At 41.3% G+C, this 25,556-nt stretch overlaps 1 protein-coding gene and 1 long non-coding RNA gene across 9 annotated transcripts in view; one reads left to right on the top strand and one right to left on the bottom strand.

Moving 5' to 3' along the window:
* SLC24A2 (solute carrier family 24 member 2) overlaps window positions 1-25,556 on the top strand; it is an 800,438-nt gene that overhangs the window by 722,737 nt on the left and 52,145 nt on the right. For all 5 annotated transcript variants that reach the window (XM_017014592.2, NM_001193288.3, NM_020344.4 and 2 more), the window contains 2 exons: window positions 8,134-8,232; window positions 11,687-11,805. In XM_017014592.2, coding sequence (XP_016870081.1) covers window positions 8,134-8,232; window positions 11,687-11,805 — 218 coding nt within the window. The remainder of the gene's footprint in view (window positions 1-8,133; window positions 8,233-11,686; window positions 11,806-25,556) is intronic.
* The window catches only part of LOC105375988 (uncharacterized), a 93,057-nt gene continuing 89,498 nt past the window's right edge, over window positions 21,998-25,556 (bottom strand). For all 4 annotated transcript variants that reach the window (XR_007061431.1, XR_007061430.1, XR_929510.4 and 1 more), the window contains one exon: window positions 21,998-23,326. This is a non-coding gene — a long non-coding RNA (uncharacterized LOC105375988). The remainder of the gene's footprint in view (window positions 23,327-25,556) is intronic.

The raw sequence follows: 25,556 nt of genomic DNA, 5'->3' as shown, positions 1-25,556 counted from the left end.
TCTTTTTTTATGCTAAGCAGACATAAGTGGGGAGAAAAAGTTCTTAATAAGGAAATTCCGCTGCCTCATTTCATTGTATAATGGGTTTGGTCACCACTTGAGATATAATTATGTATATATTCTCATTAATTACAGAAATTACTCCTATGATTGTGTCTGTAAATCTAATATAATTAAATGTCGTTAATCATCTCTATTATGTGGTTCATTAACAAAATATTTACTAAAGACACTTTACAAAATACTTTATTACAGAGTAATTTAATTTTTACTAATATCAGTGTAGCCCTGTAATAAGTAGTTTGCATCATGCTTCACAAAAATTAGAAAAAAATAATTTAGAGGTTGTACTTCAAAGACAGATTTGGGAATAAATAAAATTCTGTTTTTGGTGGTTTTGTTTAAGATGAAATTATTATTTTTAAGAAATAAAAATTTCTTTAAAATTTTCATGGCACATGTATACATATGTAACTAACCTGCACAATGTGCACATGTACCCTAAAACTTACAATAATTAAAAAAAAAATTTTTGCTTTTAAGAATAAAAATTAAGCCTGCCTCTATTAGGTAAATTAACTGTTCCAGTAAGATAGTTGGTAGAATAAAAGAGGATTTGTTTCTTCTAGTTGCTAGGTGGCATCTCTTGTGGAGGAACTTTCACTCTTATTCTCTGGGCCTCCATACCCTCGTAAGAAGGCCTCCACCATCCATCAGAGCACAAATATGAAGTCTCTTCCTCACTTCAGGCTATGGACTCTACAAGGGAACCAGCCAGATCTGTCTTATTCACCAAATACAGCCCAGTACATAGCACGGTTTTTTGTTTTTTGTTTGTTTGTTTTGTTTTGTTTTTTGTTTGTTTTTTTTTTTTTTTTTTTTACTATTTGCTATGTGTTAGTTTGTGACTTGTACTAACTTGAAAGGAAGCTTGACTTCCCAGAGGAGCTGATCATAGTGAGAGCTTCACTGCAAGACAGTGTAGGCCTGTGATGGGTGAGGCATGATTATAGGACACTTGTCAAGGGATACTAAAGATGGCAGAGGGAAGATCCCTCTCCCAGAGAAGACTGCTCTCTGCTGGGGAAAGCAGGCATGTGGGCAGCAAGCTGAAATAAGGACTGTAACATGTACAATCAAAGTGCCATGAGAATGTTGGGTTTCCACTTCGAAAAGAGGGGTGTGTGCAGAGAAACCTTCAGGTTGGACATTGAGTTAGGCCTTGATGAATGAGGGGCAGCTTAATAAAAAAAATGAGGAGCCAAGGCCCAGCTTTCCCTGCCCTGATCTTTATGGTGTTCACCTAACCTTCTGTCCTATGGAAAGGGCTCCTTTGCACATGCACCTTATTGACCTTGGAGATGTGCAGAGGGGGACAACTGATGTGTCTCCCCTGCCTTCCACCACTGGAGTATAAACACCTGGTACACCCCATTTTTCTCCTACTTACCTCTAGAAAGTTCCTGGGGCCCCATAGGTAGACACTCAGTTCCACTGGGGCCATGGGCTTGGAGGTCCTAAAGACATTTACTCTGGGTCATTGGCGTACAGGAAGCACATCACAGAGTCATAACCTCATCTACTTGCCTAGAAACCATGAACACAAGGATTTGTTGCACCCAATCTGATACTGGAGATATACCAGTGAACAAAACCAGTGAAAAACCTTGCCCTTTTGAAGCTTGTCTGCTGCCAGTGGAAAGCACCAAATAATCTGTAGTCATAATGATATAGTATATTAGACGGTGATAACTACTTTAGAGAAAATAAACCTGGGATAAGAAATGCTGGAGAGAGAAGCTATAGATTTCAATAGGCTGCTCAGACAAGCCTCAATGAGGTGACATTTGAACAAGCTCTGTGGACCTCTGGGGGAAGAATACTCCAGGTAGAGGGGCCAGACAATGCCATGGCACAGAGGTGAGATTGTGCACAGCGTTTTCAAGAAACAGCAAAGAGACCAGCGTGGCTGGAGCAGTGAGAGAGGAGAGGGGTAGCGTACAAGATCAGGGCAGTCAGGATGAGTTTCACTGCACAGAATCAGTAAGACTTTGGCTTTCACTTTGACCTAGGGACCCACTGCAGGATTTTGCAGAGAAGTAAGTGCCATGTTCTGTTTTACTGATCACTAAAGATGCTGGGATGAGACTGGCTGGGGCGGAGAGGGGAGGGTAGAAGGGGGAGACTCAGACCAGCAGAATTATTCCTATGTGACTTGGTGCTGGTTGGGTGGGTGTGCGGAGTGGGGAGTGGGAAAGGGGTGGAAGGAAAAAGTGGTCAGATTCTGAAAAATTTTAAAAATAGAGACACCAGATTTGCTGGTAGATGGCATGTGGGGTGTGAGAGAAACAGGGGAGCCCAGGATAACTTCATGATGCCACACCAGTTCTGTTGCAAGCCTTCTGAGAGTGATGAAGGCTTAACTGAAGTCTATGCCTAACTTAAGTCTCTGCTTCCAGAAAAAAAAGGAAAGGAATAAATGGGAGGAAAGTTCAGACACACTTTTGCTTTTTAAGCTACCTGGCAAGCCATAAACTTCAAAGAAAGAGACAAGAAAGGCAGAACCGAAAACACAAAAATAGATTTTAAAAGGCTGATTTCTAGTTTTTCCTCCTGTGTTATTTTTTCCTTTCTTCTCCCAAGCCATGGTCTGTTCACCGAGCTGTGTTTGGCCACTCTCTTTGCATCTTTTTCTCTCTTTTGTCCCATCGTTGTTTCTGTGTTGCAGATGCTTAGAATGTTCTGTAGCAGCTGGAAGTTAATCTGATCACCACCCCAGTAACCCTGCCTATTATAGACTTGGTGGGAAAGATGGGAGGGAGGGAATTTCCAAGGGGCTGTTTTAATTAACAGCAGAAGAGAAACAAAATTCATTTCCTTTGAGTGAACAGACCCTCCAAACGTTGTTTTTCCATGCAGCATGAAGCTTCTGTTTTATGTCAGAATGATCTGGTCAAGGATTTTGATTGCTGGTTGTTTTTCGAAATTCACATTCAGCTCTTATGCTTGGATCTTTTACTTCCGCACTTCCCTACCACCCCCTCAACATACACTCCTCTGAGGACACTCAGCTGGTACTCTTTTGCAAATTTCAGACCAAGCTAAACTATATTAAAATTATATACTAGGTTTTGACGTAGGTGCCTCACGATTTGAGCAGTTTGCTATTTCTGAGATTTTTAACTATACAAATATCTGTAGCTATGTAAAAATACAACACTTTAAGGGTTTAGACCACAAGAGACCACAAGAGAGTATATTTTTTAAAGTTGCCTTGAAACATGTTAAAAATAACTCCTTCACTCACCTTGAAAAGTACTCAAAAATATCATAATTCATTTTTGGCAGGCTCAATGTTACACAGTCATTTCTTAGATTCGTTCCTCTATGCCACCCTTTATGGCAATTTGGAATCTGTGCCTGAAATATCTGAGCAATCCCTTTACCACCAAGGTCTGCACCTGCAGGTGCTAGGCATCAATTCTATTTTAAATATCAATCTTCTTTTCAGTAATTTAGGAGAAGAATTTCCTGTCATCTACTTCCATAATGATAGCAACCCTTTCTGAATAGCAGTTCCTAAGCACTTGCTGTTTATCAGAGGCCATTGAAACATGCAATGGGTATTAACCCATTGGACCTTCCAAGGACTGTTTTAGCTGGATGCTCTTCTTAGCTCCATCTTACTTATTCTGGGCCTGAGGTGGAGAGGGGTTAAGAACCTGGTGCTTCATGAGGTTCTTTTGAGCAAATCCATTTTGCTGCAGCAGTAGTCCCTTGGTCTGAATTTTGGACCTGCAGGTGATGAGGGAAAGCTGATCATCATGTCCCCATTTTAAGATTGCAGAGGTATCAACTTTTAAGCCCAGAAAGCCAGCTCTATCACCTTGACCTTCTCAATTGCAGAAAGATCTAAAATGATCCTTTTTCTAATCAAGTGTTGGGGGATTCACTGAAACTTGAACACCAGTCCAACAAGGCCCTGTATGCTTAAACTCCTGGGTCTGAATGTGGCTGATTCTCCAGCTCGGCCTGTGTGGATTGAGAGAAGAGAGGATGGCAACAATTCTCCTACAGCAACTCAGGACTACATCACCCTTAGATTCTGTTTGATTCTCTTTTTCCTCTAACTTACAGAGTTCTTTCAATGCCACACAATGTGATAAGCCCTTTACACATATTTTCTCACAGAAGACCCCTGCAGCTCAGCCCTTCCCTGGATGACAGGCAGAAAATGAGCCCCTCTTCCCCAAGTGAGTACAGGACATGTATGGACATCGTATGTCACTAGTAACTCTACCAATACCACTGGAATCCCTGCTTAACAGATCAGCCAATACCACTGGAATCCCTACTTAACAGATGGGAAAACTAAAGCACAGAAATATGTAGAAACTCACCACAAATCGCCCAGCAGAGACAGTGAGAGAGCTAGGGCTTGAACTCAGATCTACCTACCTCTCAATCACATCCATTTAACCTCCATTTAAGCATGAAATTGTGCTGTCCCGACACACACACCTTGTTTGCTGTTCTTCACAGTTTGTGACTTGGGAATGAACAGATCCTGAAAATGCCATGTCTTCCTACCCCAAGGCAGAGAGGATCACTTCAAAAATCACAGGTTCTCTGCTGGCTTCTGCCCCAGGTCCTTCACGCTCACATATATCCTGTTAGCCTCATCCTCACAGCATTTCTCAAAAGGTGCCCTGTGATGATCTCAGGCGTATCCAGTGGGCTGGAATCAGCGAATCTGGTTTGTCAGGCTCTGCCCCACCACCCTGAAGGATTACACATGTGTGCCACATTCTGAAGGTGGGCCCTCAACTGCAGCCTTTCTAGAAACTAATCTTTAACGGAAAATCCTTCTAGCCTATGGCGCAGCCATTGTCAGCGCTTAGGATGTGGAATGGCTGCCAGGTCATATTAGTTGCGACAAAGAATCATCTAGGAGGGAGGTTGAGTTGCAGAAGTTGAAGAGGTCTGTGGAGAAGACAGCTCCCAAGCAGCCTTGCTGCTTTGGCTTGCTGCCCCTAAGGCAGCAAGAGGACACAAATAACGCTAATCCCTCTTACTGTTCAATAGCACAGAAAACCTGAGGTGCTGCTGCAGTGGGAAAAGAGTAACATGCAGTCTCACTGGCCTGTAAGATATTTGAGAACCTATAAAATTCCAATTCTAGGGTTATCTCCTACCCTGTTCTCCTAGATTTTCCTTGGAGATTTGGGGAAAACCAGCCCATGAGTGCCAGTGGCCAACACTATTCTGAAAGATGCTTCCTGGCAGAGGGCATGGCTCCCCTTCCAGGCTTTTGGGTCCCTTTTATTACCATTTCTCTCTGGCACACACCTAAACTCTGAAAAGATTCTTATAACCACAAGTGATATGTCATTAGCTTGTTTCTATCCAATATTTTCTGTGTCATGATTCATGACTTTAGGACATTATTTGAGTTGAGTTATTTTAGGTTTTATTTCCACAGACCTATTTGTTGCCGCTTCTGAATGCTTTCCTGCTTTATTATTATCTTACAGATAATTTTCCAATAGCAAATATTGATCATCTATATTTCTTAGAGTGGCAGGATGTTCTGAGTTCAAACAATAACCCTGAGACCATGATGGGATGATTTTATTAGAAGAAGCATCATCTCCAATAAAGTTTCAGAACCTCCTTTTTTCCTCTTCTGGGTGGAAAACCAGATGATTTGGGACTTTTTGGAATTGCCTTCTGCAAAAAGTAACTCCTCTTTAGGCTGAGGACTGCAGAGTACTCAAGCTCACTCTTATTATCTGTTTATCTAGTCCTCAAATAAGACTAGGTTTGGCAGCCAGGAAAGTATCTTGCATCCACACAGCCTGGAAAACCTTCAGGCAATCATAGACCCTGCCTGCCTCCTCCATCCTTGCATTTCTTTTTCTCTATTTTTCCTTTCTGTTCTTGTTCTTCTTTACCACCTCCTTTTCCTAGTCTCCAGGATTTCTTTTCCCTTTTTCTTCCCAGAGTTTCCCTTGGAAATTAAATAGAAACAACCAAATTCAAGCTACCTTCCAGGGTGGTGAATCTAATGCTGACCTTCAACATTCCTCATGGATGGAGTCGTGCCTATCACCTCATCCTTCTTTCTCACTCCTTAGGAAGCCCAAGCCACACACCAACCTCCTTTTCTCCATGAAATATTTCCTTTCCTACTTCTTTTGAGAGTGTACTCAGTGGTGCACATTCATTGCCTAGACTAAGGTACTTATGGCCTAGAGATTGCCTTTGCCTTTGTTGTGGCAAAGAGACCAGGCTTGTGACTAATGGAGCCGTGAGCAGAAAGGGTCACAGCTCGTGTCATTTTCACCATTGGAGTCCATTGGTCTGACTCTAGTTTACAGGTGCTGTCACTCCCAGCCAGTCACACAAGTCATCACCATGACCACACGCCATGATTCCAAACCATGGAGGTGGGCAGTGGGTGCCAATCTGCCATGCTTTATCCTAGGAAAAGAAGCTCTCCAGGAGAAACATATTTGTTTGGTTTGGTTCTAAATAAAAAAGTAGAATGAGATCCCCTGTTAATATGCTGCTAGAGAACACAAGCCGGAAAAAAAAAAAATACATCGTGGGAAAACTGTAGGGGTTGTGGTGTTTTGAGATACTCATTATATCTGAATCTAGGCAATAATCAGTTTAAAATGAGAATTTTTTTATACCTTGAATGTTCCCAAGGAAGAAAATAAAGGATAAAAAGAAGAGGAATGTGCTGTTTCCCTAATCTCTGCACTTTTGCTTGCTTTTTTTTTTTTTTTTTTGGCTTATTGCATGCATTTACTTATTATGTCAATAATAAAGAAGAAATGAAACATCGCACTTGTGTTACAGCTGTTTAAAATGATTACTTTGAGAATGGCAATTTTCTAGTAACTTTTTTTATGTTTCCATAAGTTATTGGGGTACAGGTGGTATTTGGTTACATGAGTAATTTCTTTAGTGGTGATTTGTGAGATTTTGGTGTACCCATCAACCATATGTACACTGCACCATATTTGTAGTCCTTTATCCCTCGTCCCCCTCCCACTCTTCCCCCCAAGTCCCCAAAGTCTATTGTATTATTCTTATGCCTTTGCATCCTCATAGCTTAGCTCCCATGTATCAGTGAGAACACACGATGTTTGATTTTCCATTCCTGAGTTACATCACTTAGAATAAGAGTCTCCAATCTCATTCAGATCACTGCAAATGCTGTTAATTCATTCCTTTTTATGGCTGCATAGTATTCCATCATATATATATGTTGGAATATTTTTATATATATATTTTATATATATAACTATATATAATATATATATAACAGTTTCTTTATCCACTCGTTGATTGATGGCCATTTGGGTTAGTTCCACCACTTTGCAACTGTGAATTGTGCTGCTATAAATATGCATGTCCAGCACCATTCCCAAAGCATCTCATCACCAACATTACTTGCTGCACTCAGTTGATCCTTCCTTGCCCTAAATCCACAAATGGAATCAGTTGCCTTCTTAATGCCTTAATTGCAGCTGACTCAGCTAATTTGGAAAGCTGTGATGCATGTTCCTTACTCGTTTAGAAACAGCAATGTTAATTATAAGACAGGTTGAGTATCCCCTATCTGAAACGCTTGGGACCAGAAGTGTTTCAGATTTCAGATTTTGGTTTTTTCAGTTAGGGATACTCAAAGTGTAAATGTTTGAAAACTGAAGTCAAATCAGAGGACCCCTGGGCTTGGCTTTCCTTCCCAGCCCATTGTCAAAATCTGGTCTGGAATGAGCATTTAATTTCAGAGAAATGGCCATGCCTCCAGAGCAGCTCTGTTTCTCTAGACCTGTTTTGGATCTCAGCAGTAGGGAAGCTTTAGTGTTGCTTGGTGCTTTTGTTAATTTTGTGAGCAACTGGGAAGGGAGGGAAGAGATTCTCAAATAGAGAATTGGGCTGAAAAATCTACAAAGGCAAGAAAGTACCCTTCAGGAAGGTCCTGGTGCATTGGGGTTGGACAGAATGGAGTGGTCACGCTATTAGTGCAGCGTGACTGAGGAGGCCACATACCTGCTTGGCCCTGAGACTCTCTTCTTTCTCATTGTGTCTCCTTCCTGCCACTTTCTTTTGCTTCAGGGAGGTTCAGAGAAAAGGCTTCAATTCTCCACAAGATCGCCAAGAAGAAATGTCATGTGGATGAGAACGAGAGGCAGAATGGGGCTGCCAACCACGTGGGTGAGTGCAGGGAAACATCCACCCCATACCTTTCCTGGGGGAAGCGAGGGGAGCAGAGAGTCAGGACCAGTGTGGGCACCCCTGACTCAGTGCAGACACACACACCGCTGCAGCACAGCCCTTCCCTGTGCAACAGGAAATGAGTCCCTCTTGCCCTAGTGTGTACAGGGTATGCATGGACACAGTATGTCACCAGTAACTCTAGAAGTCCAAGAAGAGTAAATTTATTCTCTGAGGAACCTGAAGTAAAACCATCTCTTAACTAGTCATCTCCATTCAAGAATAGAAAATCACTGTATTTCAGGGATTCCACATAAACAGGATACATGCACACGCATACACGCACACGTACACAGTGTCATTTAATGTTTAATCAAAGGTGAGAGTCCCCTTTCTGTAAGTCTTGACTGGTAACCAGATTTTTATACCTGTGATATTGCTTATGGCACACACTTGGTCACTCCTGAACTGAGTGACAGAGTCCTTTTGAGATGATGCTGCCTCTCGTTTTTAAGAATTCAGCAGTAACAGCCCCCAGGTCTCTTTCCACTGACTTTTGCAGAGCTCCTGTATGACAAGATTGTGACATTCAGGCATCTTATTTTAAAATGGAACATGATGTTCCTTCTCTCCTGTCTGTAACTATAATATAGCTCTCTTATTCTAAATTCAAACTAAATTTAACCTGATCTGGATCTATGCTATAAACGAAGCTATTACCCAAGTAACTAAAATTATCTGCAGACAAAATTCAACAGCATTGCTCTCAAAATACTGACACTCCGTAGAAGAGTTTCTGCCTTTCCTGTTATCCCAACTTCTACCTCAGGGAAAATTTTTGGCTGAGAAACAGTTAAGATGCAATTAGATACGAAAAGAAAAACTGGAAAGAAGTCAGCTAAAATGTTAACAATAGTTACTTCCTAAAGCTGGGATTATGAGTTATATATATATTTTTCTGCTTCTTTATGCTTCTATAAAGTTTTTCAGAATAAGCATATTTTGGTTTTGTACTATAAAAATGTAAAGCCACACCATGAAAGTCTACCGCATAGGTTGAGTTTTGTTTGTGATGTTTAGATTCAACTACACAAGCTATTTTTTCTGCTTCACATGTTGACTTGTCTTTTATAGAATGAGGTAGCTTGGAGTAAAAGAATTAGATTCCTGGGCTCAGTCGCAGTCCTCCTCCTCCTAATGACTGGCCAACCTTAGACTTGGATTTAATCTTTTTTAAGGAGGTAGGACACTTAATGCCAAGGATTCTTCTAATGTTATTGGGGCTCTCAATGACTTTGAACTAGAAAATGTTATTGGGTCTCTGAATGACTTTGTAACTAGCTAATGCTTTTCAAAGTAAGTCCAAGATTTATTTTCATATTTTCTTTTATTATGAACCTTCAGCCTGCTGTGTAAAAGCACTTTATAAGCTAAGATGTGCACACACAGGTTAGATATTATGCCTGGCAGGCAGTCTCTGCTCATCTGTTCATCTCTGTTCTTGGACATGTTAACTCCCCTTTTACCCAGTATTTTGTGTTGCTAGGGTCAATTTGACCATTGCAGGCTAATCCTAAGGTTTTATCACATCAGCCAATAGAATTCTCCAAACAGAGTTTTATTCACCCAAGGTTCTTCATGATTTTTTATTTAAATAACTGAATCAAGCATACTAAGATAAACTGGCATAGCCACATGCAGCACATCACATACGTATCGCTGTCACTACTAAAAACTTGGAAAGATAAAGTAAATTTGAGTTTCTATGGTTTTCCGTATTTAAATCTATTCATGTGTCTATATTCCACAACTAAATACATAAATAAACATAAATATTTCCCTATGATTTCCAAAATTTGGCTGCTTCAAACTCCACAATTTTTATGTAACTCTCAAATTATTTTCTTAAGCACCAGTGATGGAAATGTCTAGTCCCTCTGAAGTTGCTAGGAAAAAAAAAGCACATTCTTATGTTTGATGAGCAGCTGATACTGCTCGGATCTGACAATGATGAGCATTCTGATACCCCCAGAAACCCTGACAGCATACTACAGCCTCATTCCATCCCAAAATCCATGATTTGACCCAAAACAGCCAGAGTGTGTGCTTTCAATAGGAACCTTTTAATTTCCCTCGCGATGAAGTTCAGCAGACCTCAGTGGTGCTGGAACATTGATCACCTGATGGTACTCCTCTTTGTCATGACAAAAAAAAAATTATTCTAGTGAAAGGCAGGCACTATAATAAAGATCCAAATAGTTTATGCTTCTTGGTTGCTCTGTACAAGGCACTATGCTACAGTGTTTTATATGCATTTTCTTATTTAATCTTTACAGAAATACTCTTTGATCATATTGTTGTTGTTAGTGGTAGTAGTAGCAACAGTAATAGTAGTAGTAGTATTGTTACCATCACCCCAGTTTTACAGATGAAGAAGCTGAATTTCAGAGAGGTTGAGTCACTTGCAAAGGGTGAAACAGCACAAGTTGTAGATCCAGAATATGAAGCCAGGCCTGTCTGATTCCCAGTGTTACAGACTCCCAGTGCTTAACCATTACCCTAGAGTCACTTCTCAAGTGTCAAATCTGCACTTGCTGACCCTCTGGCTTTACTCTAGCTAAATGTTCTGATTCAGGAATGACACAGCCTTTGGCCTCTATTACTTGTCGAGCTCCCCCTTGCCTTGCCTGCAGTAGGATGCTCAGGTGTGGAGTGTGCTAAGTTGTATTCACCAGGCTGCCCTGCCCATGGCCACCTAGGCACTGGAAGAGTTTCCACTCACAGAGTCTGAATTACAGCTGAACATAATGTCCCTTGGAGGTCAACCTGTCGAACCCTCTTATTTCACAGATAAGATTCCCAAGTCCCAGAGGAAGAAGGGAACTAGCCTAAGATAGCAACCCGATCAAAGCAGGGTAAAGTCTAGGACCCTGAAGCCCTAGCTAATATCCTTTCCAGAGTACAGTATCAAAGAAACGATATTACTGTAAGAAAATATCTGAAGGGTACAGTCCAGGGTGTAAACAATAGTATGTAGATTGCGTGTGGTTTTGGTTTTAAAATGTCTATGTTCATGTTTCCTGAGTAGCTAGTTGGTAAATTTGCCTAGGCTCAAGAAAGGCATATCATGGGAGCTGATAGGGCACCCAAGGTAAAGTGTCATGCCAGAGCAGGAAGCCAGGGCGCTATTAAGGGGGCAGGCCGTATACTGAAAGACATGGGGAAGAACGGTAAAAATCCTTTCCCGCTTGGCTCAATATCAGCCCTGGGCCTTATCGCCCCTGGGACACCACTATCCTCTGCTTTAGCCCAACATTTTAGGAAACTCTTTTCAATATTGCTCTTTACCCCCATTGATTCCATTTGCTTTCTCTCTCTCTCTCTCTCTCTCTCTGTGTGTGTGTGTGTGTGTGTGTGTGTGTGTGTGTGTGTGTGTGTTTAAATTATATCACAGAAAAAATTGAGCTTCCAAACAGCACCAGCACAGATGTTGAAATGACACCATCCAGTGATGCTTCAGAACCTGTACAAAATGGAAATCTCTCCCACAACATTGAAGGTGCAGAAGCCCAGGTATGGCTTTTCTCCATTGCTCTTCTGGGCTGTTGTTCTTAACTGATATCCTAGCGTGGCAGCACAGACCCTATATTCTCCTTGGAAGCCCCAGCTCTCAGCTGGGCAGGAATCAGGTAGGGCCTTATACATCCTTGTGTGTATTTCCCAGTGCCACCCCAGGGTCCCACATGCAGCAGCCTCTACATTTATTGAATGAATATGAATATTCTCTAAGCCACTGTTTCTCCAGGTGAGGTTGAAGGACTCATGCATCAGTATCTCCTGGGGATGAAAATGTAGATCCCTGGGCCATATACCAGGTGTGGTGAAACAGGATCACTGGGAAGCAGCACGTCGGAATTAGCATTTTTAATTAGCATCCAAGGTGATTTTTAATGTATGATAAAGCTTGATACCTGCTGCAGTTTAATCCTTTCTCTGTGTCTTTAAGGTCTGTGTTAAGTAATAGAGAAACCACAGCCATCAGACTCAGTGAGCCCCCTTTGGCTTTCTCTGTCCCTGTGGTTGAAATTAACACTCTCTGGCCCAACCCATTATTCAATGGCACAACCACTTGAACTTTTCAGTCTAGTAGTTGTAAAACCTAACATTTATCAAACACCTACTATTTGCCACAGCTTCGGTACTAGGCATTTTACATAGGTATTAGTCCATTTTCACACTGCTATAGAGAACTTATGAAGAAAAGAGGTTTAATTGACTTATAGTTCCACAGGCTCAACAGGAAGCATGACTGAGAGGCCTCAGGAAACTTATAATCATGGCAGAAGGTGAAGGGGAAGCAAGCATGTCTTACCATGGCAGAGCAGGAAAGAAAAAGAGGGAATGGAGATGTGCCATACACTTTCAAGCAGCCAGATCTCATGAGAACCCACTCAGTATCACGAGAATAGCAAAGGGGAAATCTGCCCCCCAGATTCAATCACCTCCCACCAGGCTCCTCCCCGCAACATATGGGGATTACAATTTGAGATGAGATTTGGGTGGGGACACAGAGCCAAACCATATCAACATATGTTATCACCTTTAACCTCACAGCTGAAGGTGTAGGCATTAGTAGCTCCATTTTTTTTTTTTTTTTTTTTTTTGAGACGGACTCTCACTCTGTCACCCAGCCTGGAGTGCAGTGACTCAATCTCAGCTCACTGCAACCTCCACCTCCTGGGTTCAAGCAATTCTCCTGCCTCAGCCTCCTGAGTAGCTCGCACCACCACACCCGGCTAATTTTTTTTTTTTGCATTTTTAGTAGAGATGGGGTTTCAGTTGATCAGGCTGGTCTCGAACTTCTGACCTCAGGTGATCCACTCGCCTTGGCCTCCCAAAGTGCTGGGATTATAGGCGTGAGCCACTGCGCCCGGATAGTAGCTCCATTTTATAGTTGAGGAAACTGAAGCTCAGTGAGATGAAGTAGTTAATTGGGGTTACCTAGTTTGTAGATGGTAGAGCTGAGATTTCATCTCAGGACCGTCCAACTGTACAATTTCCACCACTCTCTCTAGAACACAGTTGCTCAAAATGTAGGCAGAACCACCTTTGGTGCTTGTTAGATTTCTGGATCTCATCCTGATCAGGCGAATCAGAATTTCTAAGACCTGGAGCCCCAAACTTGCATGTTAATTAGGCATTTTAAAACTTGCATTTTACCTAGCTCAGTGTTTCTCAAACTTTAATGTACTTACAAATTCTCTGGGGAGGTCATCTTAAAATTCACATTCTGAATTTGTCAGGTCTGCCATGAGGCCTAGAGTCTGCAGTTCTAATGAGCTCCCCAGTGATGCTGATGCTGTTGGTCCAAGGACCATACTTGGAGTAGCACTACCCTAAAGTTTGAAAGCACTCTCTAGACAGAACTTCCCCCAATGAGCTGAAAAGTGATACAGTGCCTGCAAATAGAAACCAGACTACAGTCAATATAACCTAGCAGCCACTTCTTAAGAAAAAAAAAATGCTAATTGTTGCCTGTTACCCTTATTCTCTGATAGAAATTACGTATTTCTTTCCTAAGGAAAGTTTCTTCATTTAACAGAAAGAATAAGGAGCCTGCCACTCCTTCTGCCCTTGTCTCCTCTGCCTTCTATGCTCCTTACCTTCCTGCCCAGAGCCCTGTGGTCCCTTTGCATTAGCTCAAGAGTGAGCTGGCAGAGCAGCTTATGTCCACATGGATAAGCAGCGTGTGGCAGCAGGAGGCAGGCCCCAAGGACATCTGGCTGCCCTTGGGGATGGCACAGTCATAGGTGTGCAGAGGGCAGCCTCATCCCCATGCCTCTCCATCTGGCTGACAGAGGGACATCTGTGCCCCTGCAAGGGAGGACCTTGCTGCAGGGGAGCAAAAGAGTCCCAGATGACCCCTCTCTGAGCAGAGCTGTGGCCCTAGGTCTCCACAAAGGGGAACAGGACAGATTTGTGCACCACCCTGCTAGGCTCAGAGTTCAAGAGCAATCAGGTCTTCACTTACAATCAGATGACCTGGACCTCAAGAGCAATCAGGTGACCTGGGCCTGCAGGTCACCATGGCCCACTGTAGGACAGCCTGGTAGTGAATTCTAGATCCACCAGGGTCAAGTTACCTAGCTTCCCTGAGCTTTAATTTAGTTGCCTCATCTGTGAAGTGCAGATAGCAACAGTACTTGCTTCATTGCAGCTATCATAAGGGTTAAATGAAATAATGTACATAAAGCCCTTATTACAGAGTTAGATGCTAAATATTGATATTATGTATTCATATTTATCATTAAAACACCATTCGAGGTGTCCTTTCCTTGAAAGAGCTCATTGTATGTAAAGTGAAATGGTTTTATGTATATAATATTTGGGGAGTATTCAGGGTATAAATAATGAGTGAACGTTTGTGTTAGGTAAATAATTATGACCTGGTATGATCTTAGAGTTCTATACAAAGTGCTCTGAGAGCCTGCCAAAGGAAGAAGTTGGTCCTAAATAGAGGAGATGTAAAAACTCCATAGAAGAGGCAACATTCAAGCTGGGTGTTGATGGGTGAGTCGGAGTTTGTCCCTCAAAGAATGAAGAAATAACCAAAATGACAACATGTGCAAAGGTGTAAAACCTTAAAAGGGAAAGTCATGTTTAGTGATTGGAGAGAAAGAGGATAGAACTGGAGCCTAAAATACAAGGTGAGGAGTAAGGAGATATCCACTAGAAAAGGTAAGTTGGCTCAAATTTCTTCCATTGTTTATCTAATCAGAAAATTTTGATTGTTTACCTAATATGTGTCAGACAATGTACTGGGCACTGGAGATGCCCATGTGTTCTAGCAAAGCAGAGAATGTAAACACAACCCAACATGATTATACATGGCCCCAAAGGCCATGAACAAAACAAAGCAGTGTGATAGGATGGAAGGAAAATGGAGAGGCTCCTGTGAGTTGGGAGATGAGGGAAGGCCTCCAAGGAAATGGCATTTGAACTGAGACTGAAGTTCAAGAAGGAGCCAGCCAAAGGAACAGCACCCACAAAGGCAGAAATAAACTCAGCTTGTTTCAGAAACAGAAAAATCAGTATGGCTGGAGAGAGAGGAGTGGAAGGAGGAAGCATGGTAGCAATGAAGTCAGAGAGGAGGGCCAAGCAGAGCTGGTAGGTCTTGTAGATCATGATAGGGTAGCTGACTTCTGTCTGGGGCAGCAAGAAGCCATTGGAAGTCAGCAGATGTGATTTGCACTTGTAAAAGATCCCTGGCGCCACGGTGTCTTAGAGGTTGCATTTGAGGGAAGGAGGGTTTATGGCAATAGTGGGGCAAAGAGGTTGTTGCAGGCCTTGAGGGAAAGAGCTGATGATGACACGTACTGGTGTGATAGACGTGGAGGGGAGGAGAAGTATGTGGATCATGAAGGACATTGTGCGCACTGCCAACCAGTCTGGACTTCACCCTCCTCTTGGGAGTGGGAAGCTGCAGAAGATTTAGAGGGAGCAGTGGCAGTGTCAGATTTGTTTTATAGAAAGACAATTCTCTTAGAATGGTCAAGAGGGATCAGAATAGAAAATTACTAGACAAAGGGAGGTGAGGTAAGAACCTGTGGTTCCAGGATTGGCACACTGTGGTCCACAGGCCAAATCTGGCCTGCAGCCTGTTTCTGTACGACCCATGAGACAAGAATGGGTTTTTACATTTCTAAAGCTTTTTTTAAACAGGAAGCAATAGCAGCATATGTGACAGAGACCATATGGACCTCAAAGCCTAAAATATTTACTATCTGGCCCTTTACAGAAAACGTTTGCCCATCCTTAGTTTCAACCATCTGTCTTAAAAAACAGAAAGAAAGGAAAAGAAAAGGAATGAGAAGCTCTTCATGTACTGCTATGGAATGACCTCCAATACATGTTGTTTAGTGAAAAAAGCAACATGCCAAATTGTATCCAGTATATTTGTACACGGAAAGAAAGGGGGAGAAGGGAAATAGCATATAAACATTTGCTTGGAATGCTGTCAAATAACTAGTCATGTTACTTACTTCCAGAACAGGGGCTGGGGCGGTAGGAAACTGGGATGGAAAGGAAGCTTTTTAATATGCACCCTTCTATAACTTTTCAATGTTGAACCAGGCAATTGCATTACCTTTTCCAAAAAAAATGCAGCAACACTAAAAATAATAATGGGTTAAATGAATACAGGAGCAATGTGCTTTGGTCACTATCACACAGACTCTGAGGATGGACCACCTGAATTCAAATCCTAGCTCTGCTGCTTACCAGCTGTGTGACCCTGGAAAAGTGACTTAACCTGTTATCCATTTTCCCTCTTTGTGAAACAGGGATAATAATGGTTTCTATCTCATAGCACTGTTGTGAGGATAAATGCTCTTAGAACCATTCTTGGCACATTATAAGCACTGCTTAGGTGTATGCTATTATTAGCAGTACTGAGTAACATTTTTAATGGCTATTGAATAGCCCAGATGGCAAGGCGTCTATTGGTAGACCATGTATGAGCTGCAGTATGAACGGCAAGGCTGGATTTGAGAGTCCTTTCTGAGCCAGAATTGGGAAGATTTGGTATTGACTTGGTCATAGAAAGTGAACAAGAAAAGGAAGCTGCAGATGATGCTGAGGTTTCCAGGCTGGAAAGTCTGGGTGATGGGGTGAATTAGGGCTGGGCCTCCAGAGTCAGTAGGAAAATGTGAACGCGGGATGATCAGGCCACCTGAAGCACAGTTTCATGGACATGATTCAATGGCTTTTCATTTTGTTAGTTTTATTTCCTTTTGAGTTGTATTTTTAGCAAGTTCCGTTAAGAGTGAGGTGCGCATCCTGACTTTATTAGCGGAAATTATGAGCCCCATACACCACACTGTTATTCTCCTGAGACTTTAGCCTGCCTTGTGTAATTAACCTGCTGTTTTAAAAACCCTATTTACAAGTGAACTAATTTCACATTGTCACCTCATCTCCGAGAGGTTTCTGCCATACAGTCTTTACCGTGGCAATAGAGAGCATTTTTAAAATACTCTCACAGAGGAATGAAGTTTTTGCTTCATTTGTATATTCTGTGGAACCAAGAAATAATATGACTTTTTAAATGGCTGAGCGATCACTAGCTTTTCCCAATAACTGCTGATCCATTGTTGTTGATTCCAACACTGAGAAATCTGATCTGGGATGCCACTGAGAATTTATCAACCTTCTCAAATTTTTTTTTTTTTTTTGGTTATTTTAAAAATTTACTAGCATTTACTTAGTATGGTTTATGGTATATAAATTAATCACATTATGACGTTTGTAGTTGCTGTGTTAAAAAGGAAAGATAAAATTATAAGAACATATTCCTTACCTTTTTTTTTTTTTTTTTTTTGAGATGGAGTCTTGCTCTGTCCCCAGGCTGGAGTGCAGTGGCACTATCTCGGCTCACTGCAAGCTCCGCCTCCCGGGTTCACGCCATTCTCCTGCCTCAGCCTCCCAAGTAGCTGGGACTACAGGCGCCCGCCACCACACCCGGCTAATTTTTTGTATTTTTAGTAGAGACAGGGTTTCATTGTGTTAGCCAGGAAGGTCTTGATCTCCTGACCTGGTGATCCACCCACCTCGGCCTCCCAAAGTGCTGGGATTACAGGTGTGAGCCACCGTGCCCGGCCCATATTCCTTACTTTTACTTCTCGTTTTTTAGTATGATGGCAAAGTGTTTGGTTTTTGTTTCCAAAAAGCAGATTTTCTTTTTTTTTTTTCCAGATTCTTTTCTAGGTTTATTTTTTTTATTATACTTTAAGTTCTTTTATATATATATTTTTTTTATTATACTTTAAGTTCTAGGGTACATGTGCACAACGTGCAGGTTTATTACATATGTATACATGTGCCATGTTGGTGTGCCGCAGCCATTAACTCGCCATTTACATTAGATATATCTCCTAATGCTTTCCATCCCCCCTCCCCCACCCCACAACAGGCCCCGGTGTGTGATGTTCCCCGTCCTGTGTCCAAGTGTTCTCATTGTTCAATTTCCACCTATGAGTGAGAACATGCTGTGTTTGGTTTTTTGTTCTTGCGATAGTTTGCTGAGAATGATTGTTTCCAGCTTCATCCGTGTCCCTACAAAGGACATGAACTCATCCTTTTTTATGGCTGCATAGTATTCCATGGTGTATATGTGCCACATTTTCTTAATCCAGTCTATTGTTGGTGGACATTTGGGTTGGTTTCAAGTCTTTGCTATTGTGAATAGTGCCACAATAAACATACGTGCATGTGCCTTTATAGCAGCATGATTTATAATCCTTTGGGCATATATCCAGTAATGGGATGGCTGGGTCAAATGGTATTTCTAGTTCTAGATCCTTGAGGAATCGCCACACTGTCTTCCACAATGGTTGAACTAGTTTACAGTCCCACCAACAGTGTAAAAGTGTTCCTATTTCTCCACATCCTCTCCAGCACCTGTTGTTTCCTGACTTTTTAATGATTGCCATTCTAACTGGTGTGAGATGGTATCTCACTGTGGTTTTGATTTGCATTTCTCTGATGGCCAGTGATGATGAGCATTTTTTCATGTGTCTTTTGGCTGCATAAATGTCTTCTTTTGAGAAGTGTCTGTTCATATCCTTCACCCACTTTTTGATGGGGTTGTTTTTTTCTTGTAAATTTGTTTGAGTTCATTGTAGATTCTGGATATTAGCCCTTTGTCAGATGAGTAGATTGCAAAAATTTTCTCCCATTCTGTAGGTTGCCTGTTCACTCTGATGGTAGTTTCTTTTGCTGTGCAGAAGCTCCTTAGTTTAATTCGATTCCATTTGTCAATTTTGACTTCTGTTGCCATTGCTTTTGGTGTTTTAGACATGAAGTCCTTGCCCATGCCTATGTCCTGAATGGTATTGCCTAGGTTTTCTTCCAGGGTTTTTATGGTTTTAGGTCTAACATTTAAGTCTTTAATCCATCTTGAATTAATTTTTGTATAAGGTGTAAGGAAGGGATCCAGTTTCAGCTTTCTATATATAGCGAGCCAGTTTTCCCAGTACCATTTATTAAATAGAGAATCCTTTCCCCATTTCTTGTTTTTGTCATGTTTGTCAAAGATCAGATGGTTATAGATGTGTGGTATTATTAGTGGGGGCTCTGTTCTGTTCCATTGGTCTATATTTCTGTTTTGGTACCAGTACCATGCTGTTTTGGTTACTGTAGCCTTGTAGTATAGTTTGAAGTCAGGTAGCCTGATGCCTCCAGCTTTGTTCTTTTGGCTTAGGATTATCTTGGCAATCTGGGCTCTTTTTTGGTTCCATATGAACTTTAGTTTTTTCCAATTCTGTGAAAAAAGTTATTCATTGGTAGCTTGATGGGGATGGCATTGAATCTATAAATTACCTTGGGCAGTGTGGCCATTTTCACAATATTGATTCTTCCTACCCATGAGCATGGAATGTTCTTCCATTTGTTTGTATCCTCTTTTATTTCATTGAGCAGTGGTTTGTAGTTCTCCTTGCAGAGGTCCTTCACATCCCTTGTAAGTTGGATTCCTAGGTATTTTATTCTCTTTGAAGCAATTGTGAATGGGAGTTCACTCATGATTTGGCTCTCTGTTTGTCTGTTGTTGGTGTATAAGAATGCTTGTGATTTTTGCACATTGATTTTGTATCCTGAGACTTTGCTGAAGTTGCTTATCAGCTTAAGGAGATTTTGGGCTGAGACAATGGGGTTTTCTAAATATACAATCATCATGTCATCTGCAAACAGGGACAATTTGACTTCCTCTTTTCCTAATTGAATACCTTTATTTCTTTCTCCTGCGTGATTGCCCTGGCCAGAACTTCCAACACTGTGTTGAATAGGAGTGGTGAGAGAAGACATCCCTGTCTTGTGCCAGTTTTCAAAGGGAATGCTTCCAGTGATGTTGAGAATTTAGCCAGGTTTGAAAGACAATTCAAGGCAATATGCTCTCCCACCCAGAACCCAGCATTTTCTTACATTTCAATTTTGCCAATCTAGATGGGTGATTTGCACTTGGCCCACATACACTGCAAAACTGCCTGCCTGCTGCATCATAATCCCTGCTGCTGTGACACATCAAAACCATTTAAATACGCTCACAATGAGGGTAGAAGGGGGAGAGACTTGCAAATTCCTTAGATTCGAAAATCTAAAAATTCAACTTTTAAAAACTGTGTCCTACATTTTCATGTAGCATGAGACGGCTTTTTATGTGTTGCAGTTTTTATTTCATTTCACTTCTAAGATTTCCTTCTGTCCTTAGGGAAATCAGAATTGTCCCTGCTTTGGCTAAGAGCTTCCCAAATGCACCTGTGGGCAAACAGATTTATATAAGAAAATGACATTCCTAGGAATGTGATTGATTGATAGACAGATAGATACAGAGAGAGATAGGTAGGTAGATAACAGATGACTGAAGACAGAGAATGTGTAATATGCAAGTGATTTTATTCTTACTTTACAATTCAAATATTACCTTGCCATATTAAGCTCTTTCTCTTCTTAGGAATTCAGCTCTGACTTATTTCTCCATACTGTTATCTTTACCTAAACTCAGTGGAGTTTTTAAGATCTGCTTTTATAAAGCCTCATGGTGCTGATAAAAATGTTTGAGTTTTATGTCACTAAGTGAAGAATGAGTAGGGGAAACATGATGGAAGTGAGTGTGGTTTTTTAATTTCTCTTTTTAAAAAGAGAAATGCTCAAAAATATCTTCCTACTATTAAATTTAGTTCTCTGAGGTTGATTTTAAAAAACATGTCATGGCCAGGCATGGTGGCTCACACCTGTAATCAATCCCAGTTTTGGGAGGCCGAGGCAGGTGGATCACTTGAGCTCAGGAGTTTGAGACTAGCCTGGGCAACATCACAAAAACACTCTCTCTACCAAAAATACAAAAAATTAGCAGGGCATGGTGGTGTGCACCTGTGGTTCTAGCTACTTTGGAGTCTGAGGTGGGAGGATCACTTGAGCCCAGGAGGCAGAGGCTGCAATGAGCCATGATCACCCTAGTGCACTCCAGCCTAGGCTACAAAGGAGACCCCATCGAAAGGAAAGGAGGGAGGGAGGGAGGGAGGGAGGGAGGGAGGGAGGGAGGAAGGAAGGAAGGAAGGAAGGAAGGAAGGGTCATTATAAAAACCAACAGTTTTGTTACAGATGAAAGGAAGGAAGGGTCATTATAAAAACCAACAGTTTTGTTACAGATTGTTGGAAAAGGAAGTAAGGGAGGGAGGGAGGAAGGTCATTATAAAAATCAGAAGTTTTGTTACAGATTGGCATCGTCACTGTTGTTTAAAGTTGCAGCTATGATTTTAGACCCTCTTTGGAAGATTTCGTAATAAATGTTGGTCAAAAAATGTTAGCTCTGATAGGGATTTCTAAGATTATCCAAGCATACGGTACCTGAATTCATATGATGTCTTTCTTCCTAAAATATTATCCTTAGTAAGCAAACATTTAAGTGCTTAGCAGTGGTGAGGTTTAATACAGGGTTTGGGAACCTCCAAAGAGAAAGTCGCCTTTCTAAATAATTAATTAAGGGGTAACAGTCAGGTCCACCATTTTCAAACTTTAAAAATAAATAGGCAAGAATTGCATTTCCCTGGTTTTTCAATCTCCTGGAACATCAGTGAAGTATAATAAGAGGTTCTGCCACCCAAGAAGTAGAGGCATTGGTGAAAAGCGGTGTGTGTGTATTTATGTCTGACACCACTAGAACACAAGAGCAGTGCTGGGGGAGAGATGCCAAAGCTGAATAGTGAAAGAAATAAGAATATCAAAAGACTCTTCATCAGACTGTTTATTTTTATTTTTTTAGAGTTGGGGTCTTGCACCATCACCCAGGCTGGAGTACAGTGGTGCAGTCATGGCTCACTGCAGCCTCCAACTTCTGGGCTTGAGTGATCCTCCCACCTCAGCTTCACAAGTACCTAGGACTACAGGTGCAAACCACCATGCCCAGTTAATTTTTTAAAATCTTTTGTAGAAATAGTTCTTGCTGTGTTTCCCAGGCTGGTCTCAAACTCCTGGCCTCAAGCGATCCTTCTACCCAGAGCTCCAAAAGTGCTGGGACTACAAGTGTGAGCCACCATAATCCAGCCTAGATTGGATTTTTCAAGGCCTGAACAGTATTAGAACTATGACTGCCTTAAAAAAGAAATCCACTAGTGTCAGAGAAAACCTAAGACAAATTATAAAACAAGCAAAAATTAGGGATTTTTTTACTGACCAGGCCTTGGCACATGGGTTCCATTTTCTGAAGGCAATTTTTTTTCTGTCATCTGTACATACATATTTTTTTAGGAAAAACTGGGGTCCAGTTCCTGTATGTGATGACCTGAAAAATATTTACCAACTGCTTAAGATGCACTCAGAGGCCTTTCAACACATTTAAAAGATGAAATAGATACAGATCAGACTCTAGAGTTTCTGCCTTAATTTGAATATTGACAAAGAATTATATATTCGCTGAGAATCTCGCTGGTAAAAATGCCACTTGTCATTGGGCTTTCTGAAGGAGTTTGAAGAATGTCTATTAATTGTTCCCATAAGATACATTAAGGGCTATTAATAAAAAGGAAAAAAACTCCATTACCACTCTGGAAAGAAATACTATCATTAGTATTTCTAATAATTTTAATTTTAATCCAGTTGATAAGATGAAATGATTTTTGAATTATTTTTTATGTTTCTCCAGTTAGCTTTTATGTTAGCAAATCACTTATGGATTTTATCAGCAAGATTTACAAAGCCCATGAAAACAACAAAAACCAATTTACTACAGCAATATGGAAAGAAATCAGTCTCATCCATAAGTTGCACCTCAGAATCGTTGGAGCAAAATGCAAAGTGAGGGATAACAGTTGCATTTCACCAGACTCTTCAGAAACCATTTTGCAGGATTACAGAATGGTTTCTTGGCCTCTCGGAAAAGTTAGGTCCAGACAGCTTCATCACTCACAACAAAATATTTTGAAACCTTGATTTCAGTTCAGAGTCTTGTCCAAGAAGATTAAGTTGTTTTCAGGAGGCCATTACTGAGTGAAACCTTCTCATGTTGTGTTTAGGGTGCCAAATTCTTGATTTTTTCCATCTATATATAAAACAAACCATATGATGGTATTATAAAGGGAGTATACTATTTTCTACCATCAGGCAAGCAACGATTTATCATTTTTAAGAAGTCTGTTTTCGGCCAGGAGCAGTGGCTCACGCCTGTAATCCCAGCACTTTGGGAGGCCGAGGCAGGTGGATCACAAGGTCAGGAGGTCAAGACCATCCTGGATGGGTGAAATCCCATCTCTACTAAAAATACAAAAAATTAGCCAGGTGTGGTGGCACGCACCTGTAGTCCCAGCTACTCGGGAGGCTGAGGCAGGAAAATCCCTTGAACCCAGGAGGCGGAGGTTGCAGTGAGCCGAGATCACACCACTGCATTGCAGCCTGGGCAACAGAGCAAGACTCCATCTCAAAAAAAAAAAAAAAAGTCTGTTTTCCACTTAACTGTTAGCTCTGTTGGTTTAGGATGTTCACACAGAAGGCAAGACAAATGTTTCAGATGGCATTGCCTTCCAATAAGAAACACGTAAACTTACCTCTTTTTCACTTATCTTATGGATAAGAGGTAAGTGATAGGAAAGTAGAGGATAAGAACAGAGTAGAGAGAATTAGTTGGTTAAAAAATACAAATACAGGCCAGGTGTGGTGGCTCACGCCTGTAATCCCAGCACTTTGGGAAGCCAAGGTGGGTGGATCACTTGAGGTCAAGAGTTCAAGACCAGCCTGGCCAACATGGTAAAAACCCACCTCTACTAAAAATACAAAAAAAAATTAGCCAGGTGTGGTGGCTGGCACCTGTAATCCCAGCTACTCGGGAGGCTGAGGAAAGAGAATTCCTCAAACCTGGGAGGCGGAGGTTGCAGTGAGCCAAGATCATGCCACTGCACTCCCACCTGGGTGACAGAGTAAGACTCTGTCTCTCTCTCTCTCTCTCTCTCTCTCTCTCTATATATATATATATATATACACACACACACACACACAAATGCAAAGACATTGAGAAATTAAAAGAACAAAGATAGAGATCTTTCTATGGCTCAATAAAGAATGAGTGGAAAAAAGGGACAATTTAAAAATAAACTAAGTGAACACAATGATTTATTTCAAAGCAAAAAGATCTATTCAAAAATGAGACCTTTGAAAAAGATAAACATCCTTATGGGCATTGTATTAGCCTACTGGGGCTGCCAGAAAAAAATACCAGAGACTTGGTGGCTTAAACAACAGTTTATTTTGCCACAGATCTAGGGGTTGGAAGTCCAAGATCAAGGTTCTGGCAGATTCAGTCTCTGGTAAGGGCTTCCGTTTTGGTTTGCAGATGGCTGCTGTCTCATTATGTCTTCACGTGGCTTTCCCTTGGTGCATGTGCACCCTGAGGGGAAAGAGGGGGACATAGAGACAGAGAGAGAGCACAAGCCTTCTGGTATATCTTATGATCCTATTGGATCAGGGCCCCACCCTTATTACCTCATTTAACCTTAATCACTTCATTAGAGGCCTCATCTCTGAATACAGAGGAGTGTAGAGAGTAGAGTTTGGGAATATGAATTGGGGGTGGGGGGCGGGCTCATAAACTTTCAGTCTATAACAGTCAGTAGGGACTGACATCAGAGTTGAGTAACTGAACTTTTCTGAATACAGCTCTCTGGTTTCTATCATATGGTCTAACGGTTTTTCTTCTTCCAGACTCTCCCTGTTTTCATACCTTTTCAAAGAAGAAAAGCAAATGATGCTTTATCCTCAGCCTTAGAGCCCTTAGGAAAGCCATCCCTGAACTCGGGGTTTGCTTTGGAAGTGACTCACAGCACACCTTGTTTGGCAAGTCCTAAACTACAGTTTCAGGGTCCCAAAAGTTCATTTTCCATGTGTCACTTAGAGATTGTGAGGTCAGGTGTTTGGGTCGGTGAGACCAAAATGATCCACAACCCAGTAGTGAATAATTTTATGGGTCAGTCTCCCATATTTCAATTTCAAGTATAATGTTCTATTTTTGTAGTCCATTGACATAAGGAAGGTCATTAGTATGCTGATCCCACTAATTAGGCAATATGTTTAGGAAACAATGGAGGTGAGAATAACTTACTATTTCTGAGCCAGCCACTGTTTTGGGTGGGAGTTTATAGGTATTTCCTTTGTGAAATGTGTAGTGTGATTTAAACTTACAAAATGGAGAGTGTTCTATGGAATGTTTCTGGGGGGGCACCTTTCATTTGGCAAATAGTTGTTGATTTCAGAGCGTTTCCCTGTTTCAAAGTGTGACTATG

This window comes from Homo sapiens, chromosome 9, assembly GCF_000001405.40.
Source record: "Homo sapiens chromosome 9, GRCh38.p14 Primary Assembly".
Lineage (NCBI taxonomy): Eukaryota > Metazoa > Chordata > Mammalia > Primates > Hominidae > Homo > Homo sapiens.
This window is presented reverse-complemented; position numbering and strand designations above follow the sequence as displayed.